At 48.2% G+C, this 10,510-nt stretch overlaps 4 annotated features.

The window, feature by feature from the left end:
* Nucleotides 6,811-6,920: a silencer, noted in NCBI's record as "silent region_13023". NCBI's record gives its function as "represses an Ori minimal core promoter by ATAC-STARR-seq in GM12878 lymphoblastoid cells {active_cell/tissue: GM12878}" and the evidence as "EXISTENCE:reporter gene assay evidence [ECO:0000049][PMID:35858748]".
* Nucleotides 7,877-9,076: an enhancer, noted in NCBI's record as "P300/CBP strongly-dependent group 1 enhancer chr20:49345068-49346267 (GRCh37/hg19 assembly coordinates)". NCBI's record gives its function as "activates an origin of replication core promoter dependent on BRD2, BRD4, P300/CBP, MED14 and CDK7 cofactors, with strong dependence on P300/CBP, by STARR-seq in HCT116 cells {active_cell/tissue: HCT116}" and the evidence as "EXISTENCE:reporter gene assay evidence [ECO:0000049][PMID:35650434]".
* Nucleotides 10,029-10,078: an enhancer, noted in NCBI's record as "active region_18094". NCBI's record gives its function as "activates an Ori minimal core promoter by ATAC-STARR-seq in GM12878 lymphoblastoid cells {active_cell/tissue: GM12878}" and the evidence as "EXISTENCE:reporter gene assay evidence [ECO:0000049][PMID:35858748]".
* Nucleotides 10,269-10,478: a silencer, noted in NCBI's record as "silent region_13024". NCBI's record gives its function as "represses an Ori minimal core promoter by ATAC-STARR-seq in GM12878 lymphoblastoid cells {active_cell/tissue: GM12878}" and the evidence as "EXISTENCE:reporter gene assay evidence [ECO:0000049][PMID:35858748]".

Here is a 10,510-nt window from a genome sequence, read left to right on the forward strand (position 1 = left end):
GCACTATATCAAACCCCTTAAAAATATCTCATTGGATCCTTATGAAAAATCCAAGGAATAGGTACCATTATTATCCCCATTTTACAGATGAAGAAACTGAGTCAGGAAGGCCAGCTCACTTCCCCTAGTGGCAGAATCAGGACTTGAACCCAAGTATGACTCCAGAGTCCTTGCTCCAAGCATTTCACTATTCTGTTTCCTCTTCCTTCTCCTGCCTCAACTGTGCTTTCTGGACAAGTTTCTGCCTTGATGACAAGGCTCTGAGCAGGAAGCCTCACCTCTTCAAGACTCAGTCTGCTCTTCTTTTTTTTTTTTTTTTTTTTTTGAGATGGAGTCTTGCTCTGTTGCCCAGGCTGGAGTACAGTGGCACCATCTCGACTCACCACAAGCTCCACCTCCTGGGTTCACACCATTCTCCTGCCTCAGCCTCCCGAGTAGCTGGGTCTGCAGGCGCCCGCCACCACGCCCAGCTAATGTTTTGTATTTTTAGTGGAGACGGGGTTTCACTGTGTTAGCCAGGATGGTCTAGATCTCCTGACCTCGTGATCCGCCTGCCTTGGCCTCCCAAAGTGCTGGGATTGCAGGCGTGAGCCACCGTGCCCGGCCTGCTCTTCTTTTTTTTGAACAATATAAACATGGTGTATTAACACCAAATAGTTGTGAGGATGGAACGCTTGTGAAATGCATAGCACAGTGTTCCCAGCCACTGTGATCAGTATTATAGAAGAATTTTGATTATTACTCCATCAGTATGTTCCTGTTGTAGACTGAATTGTGTTCCCCAAAAAGATAGGTTAAAGTCTTAATCTCCAGTACCTGGGAGTGAGAACTTATTAGGACATAGGGCCTTTGCAGATGTAATAAAACTAAAATGAGGTCAGGCCTGGCATGGTGGCTTACACCTGTAATTCCAGCACTTTGGGAGGCCAAGGTGGGTAGGTCACCTGAGGTCAGGAGTTCGAGACCAGCCTGGCCAACATGGCGAAACCCCATCTCTACTAAAAGCACAAAAATTTAGCTGGGTGTGGTAGCAAGCACCTGCAGTCCCAGCTACTTAGGAGGCTGAGGCAGGAGAATCACTTGAACCCAGGAGGTGGAGGTTGCAGTGAGCCGAGATCATGCCACTGCATTCCAGCCTGGGCGACAGAGCAAGACTTCACCTCAAAAAAAAAAAAAAAATTAAAATTAGGTCATTAGAGTAGTCCTAAATCCAATCGCTGGTGCCCTTATAAAAATAGACACAGAAACAGACAGACAGACAGACACACACACACAGAGAGAACACCACGTGATGCATGTGATGATGGAGGCAGAGCTCAGAGTGATTCGGCTGCCAGTCAAGGAACACTAGTGATTGCTGGCAGCCACAGAGGCTGGGAGAGAGGCACGGAACAGCCTGTCCCTCAGAGCCTCCAGAAGGAACCAACCTTGCCAATACATAGATTTCAGACTTCTGGCCTCCAGAACTGTGAGACAGCAAAATTGTGTTGTGTTAAGCCACCCAGCGTGTGGTACTTTGTGAACAAATACACTTCCTGGCCAGGCGCAGTGGCTCACGTCTGTAATCCCAGCACTTTGCGGGGCCGAGGCAGGCAGATCACTTGAGGTCAGGAGTTCGAGACTAGCCTGGCCAACATGGTGAAACTCTCTCTACGAAAAATACAAAAATTAGTCAGGCGCGGTGGTGCACGCCTGTAATCCCAGCGACTCAGGAGGCTGAGGCACAAGAATTGCTTGAACCCAGGAGGCAGAGGTTCCAGTGAGCTGAGATCAAGCCACTGCACTCCAGCTTGTGCGACAAAGCAAGACTCTGTCTCAAAAACAAAACAAAACACACACAAAAAACAAATACAGTTCCCTTCCACAGCCTAAGTCCAGACCTTCACATTCTGTGCAAGTTCCTCTTCCAAGGGCCTCTTCAAATGCAGGCCTGCCTGCAGCTCTCTTTCCTCAAATCTGTCTTAACACACCAATTTCTGACTCCCGGGTCAAAAACCTGCGATGACACCTGAATACTTACATCAGTATTTCCTAAAGTTGCTTGAGATAAGGATCACCAGGATGACAGTCCAAATTACAGGTTCCCTGCTAGGTGTGGTGGCTCACGTCTGTAATTCTAACACTTTGGGAGGCCAAGGCAGGTGGATTGCTTGAGCCCACGGGTTTGAGACCAGCCTAGGCAAGAAGGTGAAACCCCATCTGTACAAAAAATACAAAATATTAGCCCGGTGTGGAGGCGCACACCTGTAGTCCTAGCTACTCAGGAGGCTGAGGTAGGAGGCTTGCTTGAACCTGGGAGGGCGAGACTGTAGTGAGTAGTGATTGTGCAACTGCACTCCAGCCTGGGTGACAGAGTGAGACCTTGTCTCAAAAAATAATAATAATTATAGGTTTCCTGGGCCCCGCTCCAGACTACCAGACATGAGATCACAGAAGAGGCGCTTGGAATCTGCATTTTTAATAAGCACCCAAGACAATTCTTTTCCTCAGTCACATTTGGGACACTCTGGCCTACAAGATAAAATCTGGAAGAGACTAAAGATCTTGCCTCGATGATCTCTATAAAATGGCGCCAGCCTCCCCATTCAAATGTCATCTCCCAAGGCTTCCCACTGTCTTTACATCCCTCCATGTGAACAGCCTGCCTCACTGTCCTCACCTTGATCAACCTCTGCTCAAACCTTTGTTCTTGCCATTCTCCTGCCCAGAACACCTCTTCCTTTTCTCCCATCATCTAGGTCTGATTCAGATGCCACAGATCTTAAAATTATTTCTAATTGTTCCAAGATAGCTTCTCAATGACCTCAGAATAAAATTCAATGTCCTTGTCATAGCCTGCAAGAGGCTGCATGATCTGGCCATGGTCGGTCTCTCTCTCTCTCTTTTTTTTTTTTTTTTGAGATGGAGTCTTGCTCTGTCACCCAGGCTGGAGTGCAGTGGCACAATCTCGGCTCACTGCAACCTCCACCTCCCGGGTTCAAGCAATCCTCCCACCTCAGCCTCCCAAGAAGCTGGGATTACAGGTGTGTGCCACCGCGCTCGGCTAATTTTTGTATTTTTAGCAAAGATGGGGTTTCACCATGTTGGCCAGGGTGGTCTCGAACTCCTGACCTCAAGTGATCTGCCCTCCTCGGCCTCTCAAAAGTGCTGGGATTATAGGCGTAAGCCACCATGTCTGGCCTCAGTCTCATTTTAAGCCATTCTTCTCCTTCACTCCAAGCTCCAGGCCTGGTCGGGTACAGTGGCTCATGCCTCTGTCTAAGCAAAGGCATGTACACGTGCATGGATGCACACACACAAGCACACACACAACACACACACACACACACTTGCTCCACTCATTTCACTCACTGTACCCTGTTTGATTAGTTGCCAACATTTAAAAATCAAGAAGTTTCACATAAAAACGTCCAGTCTCTAACTGGATGCAGTGGCTCATACCTGTAATGCCAGCATTTTGGGAGACCGAGGAGGGAGGATCGCTTGAGCTCAGGAGTTCCAGACCAGCCTGGGCAACATAGTGAGATCTCATCTCTACAAAAAAATATAAAAAACTAGCCAGTTATGGTGGCACACGCCTGTAGTCCTGGCTGCTCAGGAAGCTGAGGTGGGAGAATTGCTTGAGTTCAGGGTTTCAAGGCTGCAGTGAGCTATGATTGCACCGCTGTACTCCAGCCTGGGCAATAGAGCAAGACCCTGTCTCTGAAAAAAACAAACAAAAACCATCCAGCCTCTCTTAAAGAATCAGATCTGCCCACTTCAAAGCCCTCCTTCCCACGCAGCTGGAGCCATATGGACTGGAGGTGAGTCCCTTCTGCGGGGCGGAAGCTCTGGTCCCCTGCAGTCCCCACCCAGCCTCTCCTTCCACCCCACATTGGTGCACTTGCTGACTGTCTCTCACCCTTGTAACCTGGGCATTTAGCCTGTGCCTGGCTCTTAGCTACACCTTAATAAATATGTGCTGAATGAATGAAAAAATACATGAATGGATGCCTTCCCTCCTCCCTAAACCCCCCAGGCCACACCACTTATTTGGCCATTTAATCACAGCCTTCCTTGCAAGTCTCACTAATTTGCTGCCCCACTGCCTGCCTCCTCAGTAGATGTTATTAAAACACAAATCTGATTCTTTCATTCCCCAGTTTTAAATGTGTGGAGTCTCCCAGCATAAACTCTGCACCATGGCCTCCGAGGCCCTTCTCAATCTGCTTCCCACCTACTTTTCCAGTCCCAATCTCCAGAGAGGGCCCCCACCCAGCGCACACCCACGCTCTACGCGCTGGCTGGGGAATACACCATGTTCTTTCCCTGCCCCCACACCACTGCCTGTGAAGCTCTGTCTCCTGGAATGCCTCCTCCCCTCCGTGCCTCTAGCAAACTCCTACTCATTCTTCAGCCCTAGCACTAAGTCACTTCACCCGTGAAACACTCCAGACCCCCCCTGCCCCGGGGCTGACTTAGTCATTCTCTCTCTGCTGCTCCCACTCTTCTCCTTTCATCCCCTGGCCTTAGCACTGAGTAATAGCTTAAAATAGCAGCTGGTGCTTTCTGAGCCCTGTTGTGTGCCAGGCACCAAGTGAGCTTTATCTCCCTTAATCCTCACGCCCCATCCTGAGTCCCGGCCCCCTAAACCTGCAGAAACACAAGGATCACTTTCTCACCTCCAATGTCCCAGAGAAGCCATCTTGCTACCCTATTTTAAATTTTCTTTCTCCCTCCACTCCTCACTCCACCACCTCAGGCCTCCCATCCCACTTCCCAGCTTTATTTTCCTCCATGGCTCTTATCACTTACACACTATATACTTAAATTCATTTATTTGCAAATGTCAGCTCCAGGATTTTGTCTTTTTTTAACACTACAATTTCCTTAACATCTGGAATACTACATGGGGCCGGGTGCAGTGGCTCGTGCCTGTAATCCCAACACTTTGGGAAGCCAAGGTGGGAGGACTGCTTGAGTCCAGGAGTTCGAGAACAGTCTGGGCAACATAGTGAGACCCTGTCTTTTTTTGTTTTGTTGTGTTTTGTTTTGTTTTTTGAGACGGAGTCTTGCTCTGTCCCCCCGGCTGGAGTGCAGTGGCGCCATCTCGGCTCACCGCAAGCTCCGCCTCCCGGGTTCACGCCATTCAGTGAGACCCTGTCTTTACAAAAATTTAAAAATTAGCCAGGAGCAGTGGTGCGAACCTGTAGTCCCAGCTACTTGGGAAGCTGGAACGTTTGCTGGAGGTAGGAGGATCACTTGAGCCCGGGAGGCAGAGGTTGCAGTGAGCTGTGATCATGCCACGGCACTCTAACCTGGACAACAGAATGAGGCTCTGTCTCAAAAAAAAAAGAAAAAAAAATAGACTAGTACCTGGCACATAATAGATACTCAATCAGTAATAATTTTTTTTTTTTTTAGATGGAGTTTCACTCTTGTTGCCCAGGCTGGAGTGCAATGGTATGATCTCAGCTCACTGAAACCTCTGCCTCCCGGGTTCAAGCAATTCTCCTGCCTCAGCCCTCCGAGTAGCTGGGATTACAGGCATGCAACACCACACCCGGCTAATTTTGTATTTTTTAGTGGAGACGGGGTTTCTCCATGTTGGTCAGGCTGGTCTCGAACCCCCGACCTAAGGTGATCCACCCGCCTCGGCCTCCCAAAGTGCTGGGATTACAGGCGTGAGCCACTGCTCCAAGCCTTATAATAATAATTTGTTTTAAAAAAAGAATAGAGACAGAGTCTCACTATGTTGCCCAGGCTGGTCTCGAACTACTGAGCTGAAGCAATCCTCATGCCTCGGCCTCCCAAAGAGCTAGGAAACAGGCATGAATCATCACGCCCAGCCTCAATCAATAATAATTAAATCAAAGAAGGTAGATACTATTACTACCTTCATTTTACCTGAGGAAACAAAGATTGAGAGACAAGTGTCCAGGGTTCCACAGCGGGGTGGTGGCAGAACCGCATGTGACCCCTGAATGGTCAAGTCTAGTGCCCGCCTCCTTAGCTGCTGTGCCCACCATCTCCAGGGGAGTTTATGGTTCCCTCTCCATGAGTCTGACTTCTCAGCTCGACCCTGAGTTCCTTGGAGGCAAGCACTCTGTCGCGTTCATGTCTGTTTCTTTGTCTGATCCATGGTAGGTGCTCCAGGAACGTTTGTTGGAGCAGTCTGTCCATGGAAGGTGCAGTGCTCAACGGCAGGAATCAATCACAGTGTCATTCTTTCGTTGTTGTTTTCCTTTATCTCCATGCACAATGTTATACATACAGTTGGGGCTCATTACATACATGCTACATTAATGAATTATATTATGACAGTAGGTAATAAAAATAATTAGACAGCAATAATGACAATAATATGTAACACTTAGGGCATCCTTACTCTCCGTTGGGCACTATCCTAAGTGCTTTGTATATGAATTAAAACAATTCATTGTCTTATTATGCTCATTTTACGGATGAGAAGACAGAGGCTCAAAGAAGTTAAGAACTTGCCTAAGGTCACATAGTTAGAAAATGGCAGAGGCAGGACTCAACTGTATGTATCTGGCTTGAGTCATGCTCTTAATGATTGCTCTTGGCCTCTCTGAGGGATGTCTACTGAGAGGTTACCCGGTGTGAAAACAAAAAGAAGCATTTATTTATTACACATTTCCATTTTATTTCAAGGAACTCCTTTCAAAGGCTTTGGTAGGCAACATTATTTGCTAAATGAAACCCAGTAATATCTGTACCAGACTTGATGGTTTGCAGAGCAGTTTCATGTATGGTTCCTCATCTGAGCCCTGCAACAATCTGGTGAGGTAGGCATTGCTGTCTACTTCTGTTTATAGAGGAACAGAGGAGAAATCTGAGGCTCTGAGTGGTTAAGTGAACAGGGTCAAGGTCACCCAGACAGCAAGGAGCAGAGCAACGACTCAAATAAATGTCTATCAGTTTAAAAAACAAAGATCTGATGCCTCCAAATATGAAGTTATTTCATGCAACTTAAAATCAAATAAGTAAATAGCAGCTTAGCCAGTTTCTGGCACCTGGTAGGTCTCATAAATGTTAACTATCAACTATCTTCATCAACACCTCCTGGGAAGTGGAATAGTTTGGCTGATGACTGCAGCCTGTCTGTTGACCCTGATGGAAAGATTATTATTTTCATTCCAGTTCATCCCTGGTAATGTTGAAATAATGATCAATCTCCATTATCCCTGGAGTACCATAGAATGTTATGAGCTGGAAGGGGTTGTGGAGATGATCTCATCAGGTCCTGCATTTACAGATGGAGAAATTGAGTCCGAGAGAGGGGTCAGAAAGCAAACCCGTGGCAGACCAAGCCAAGGGCAAGGCTTAGGCACCGTGCCTGGCACATACTGCCTCCTGCAAAGCTGAGTTTTTACCTAAAAGGGCTCTCACGTCCTAAAGGCTACAGAAAACAATTCATTCGTCTCTCTGTCTGTGAGCACCACCACCCCAGCTCCGCGCAAAAAGCAGTACAGTATTATAAGCTATTAACCAGAAAACAGATCATGTGACTTAATTCCACCTCTGCTAAAGGGCTTAAAATGCTTCAGTGAGTAGTCTGATATTCGTAAATATACACTTCAACTATTTCTCAAAGAATGATTAACCAGCTCCATCAGAATTGGAACTTGTGCAATCAAGGAGAAAAAGAGCTGGCAAGAGAAATTTATTGAAAAAATTTTTACCAGCATTACAGATGACTTCTTGCCACCTTTTTTTTTTTTCCTAAGAGTTAGAGGAAGAAGGAAAGGAAGAAGAATCATTACACAATAATGAATTAAGAAAACTAATTGTGGAAAATTACAAACTCCTTTCACCTCACAAGGTAGCTTTCAAACAAACACAACAGGGTATTTGTAGAACCTAAAGACACAGACAGTATTGAAAAGGAGCAGAAAGCAGGAGTGTAACCTTCACTAACTTCTTTCAGAGAGTGGAGAGGCCTGACAGTGTATGGGCGTGATTATCTCTGGTAGCCCATTCTGGACTAACGATTCTGTGAACCTATAATTTAGAGAGTCCATAATGTCATATGTTCACCTTACTTATCTCCCTAACCCACTGAGTATTAATTCTCCCAGGCAGGGGACTAGCTTTTTAGGCCACTTGTAAGTCTTGATCAGCTTTAGCTTGAGGATTTGGGGGTGGGGAGGGATGATGGACAGAAATAAGGTTAGGGTTAGCCTTCAAATGGAAGAAACGGGAATATAAAATCCTCGTCTGTGCTGATCATGCTTCTCAAGAAAGGCTGAAATTCAGGCCCAGTGAACACACTTGTGGCCTTAACATCTCTCAGAATGAAAGGATTTTCTTCCTTCACAATACCTTTATCAAATTCCAACTATTTTCTACTTTTCTTCCTTATACAACCCAGGCGCACGGGTTGAAATAATTTTCCTTAAGAAATCCAGGAAGCTCTGGCCTGGCCCTCCCTCTAGAAAGGAAAGTCCAAGTAAAGAGGGATGCCACACCTGGGGAAGGGAGAGAGGATGTGACGACACCTCCAGGAATGCAGGGCCCACGCAGGTGCACTGGCACCCACGAACTTCCTGATAAATCAGTACCGATAACAGGAGTAAAACTCAACCACCCAACACTCACTCACACAGAGCTGGGGTGCTGCTCCCAGGGTGTGGCCTTGCCAATCAGGGAGAGGAGGAGGAGACCTAAGAACGGAGCTCTCTAAAGGTGGTGACATGGTATCTAGTCCAGCCATGATCAGAGTGTGGTCTCTGGGAGTCCCTGAGACCCCTTTACGGGGGTCTCTGCAAGGCCAAAACTGCTTTCACAAAACTAAGATGTCATTTGTTCTCATCATTCCCATTGTCTCACGAGTATACAATGGAGTTTTCCAGAAGGGACAAGACATGTGATGACATCATCACTCTGATGACTGTTGGAATGCATGCTTGTGTACTCCCATGTTTTGGACACATCCGTTTTAATTCTAAGATAAATATTGAAAGACATTACACATAAACAAAGTACTTTGGGGTCCTCCATGATTTTTAATAGTGTAAAGGGGTCTTGAAAACAAAAAGGTTGGGAACTGCTGTGCTAGTCCAAACAGGGGAGTTACAGGCCCTGACATGCACTTTATTTCCGGCTGAACTTGAGTCACCTCCTATGTGCTTTCAAACAGGGGGTGGAGGCAGCTTGCTTATTTATTATACAGCTTGGATTGGTGTCCTTTCCACCTGTGCTGCCACAGGTGGCCAGAAAAACCTTAAATCCTCCCACAAAACGTCTGGTTACCTGAATCCTCCAGAGGGAAAAAAATGAGCTTCTCGCCTTTGAACCCAAGTGGGGCAAAGAGCCTGCAGAAGGGACACCCTCAGTGGCAGCACCCAGCAAAGACCCATCTGAGTACCCGCTGGGAGTCGGGTTCTGTGCCACTCAATGCCAGCAAAGCACAAGCCGTCCCTGCGCCTTCGGGAGCTTTCATTCTAGGCTGGTGGCAGATTACTCACAAAACTCAGATGCACACAAAAATGGGAAACCTGTAACTTGTAACAAGTGCTGGGCAACAGGGGTACAAGTGTTAGGAGGCCTCCGAGGTGGGCAGGGAGATGAGGGGAGGAAGGTACCCTAACCACTCTTCTTGCCAAATCTCAGGTTGGACCTTCCCCTCCACCTCCATTCCCCTGCCCCCTTCCTGGCTTGCAGGTTTCAACAGCTCTTGGATTCCCGGGTCCCACAGGGAGACCTTGGGACCTGGGAATCTCCTCCAGCCAAAAGCTTCAGTCTTCTCCTCTCCTCCCCATGACCCACAGGGTCTGTGTGAAGAGAGGCCGGGCTCTGGGACGTTCAGAGAGGAGGATTCAGCGTTTTGTTGCTCTGGGACACAGCTTGGTCACTCCGGGAAACGAACACAACCTAGAGGCTGTCATTTGTAGAAACAGCGAATGGCCAAGGAATGGCGGGAGGAGGGAAAAGGAAGACTTTTAAAGAAAAAAAAAAAAAGCCCTGAAAGACTGGACTAGAAATCCTCAGGGAGGCTGGGCCTGCAAGGAGCCTTCCCGCGCCTCAGCCCACTTTCCTTCCCTCTCGACCTGACGGACTTAAGGCGTGCAGAGTCTCTTCGGACAAAATGAAGCCAAGAGAGCCCTAAGCTTCTCCCCCAGCAACCGCTGCAGAGGCGGGAAAACTTGAATTTTGCAACCAAGAGTTGCAGCGGGACGCCTAAGCAACGATAAGGGGCGGTGGAGGGGCGTCGTTGGGGGCTGCAGCATCCCAAAGTGGAAGCGGGAAGGGGGCCCGGCTGGAACCGAATAGCCCCGCAGCGCCTCGGCAACCGGACGGGCGGCGCATCCAATCCCCTGGACCGTGCGTGTGACTGGCGCGCGCTAAGCGGCGCGAGCCCCGGCGGAGCCGGGCAACCAGGCGCGCGCTCGCGCGTGCGCAAAAGGCCCACCCAGCCGAGCCCTTCTTCAGGTGCGCTCGCGCTTCCGGCCGGCCTCCCCGCGTGCCTTCCCGGGGCGGAAACTCCAGCACCCGCGCATGCGCCTTC

Source organism: Homo sapiens, chromosome 20 (assembly GCF_000001405.40).
Source record: "Homo sapiens chromosome 20, GRCh38.p14 Primary Assembly".
Taxonomy (NCBI): Eukaryota; Metazoa; Chordata; class Mammalia; order Primates; family Hominidae; genus Homo; species Homo sapiens.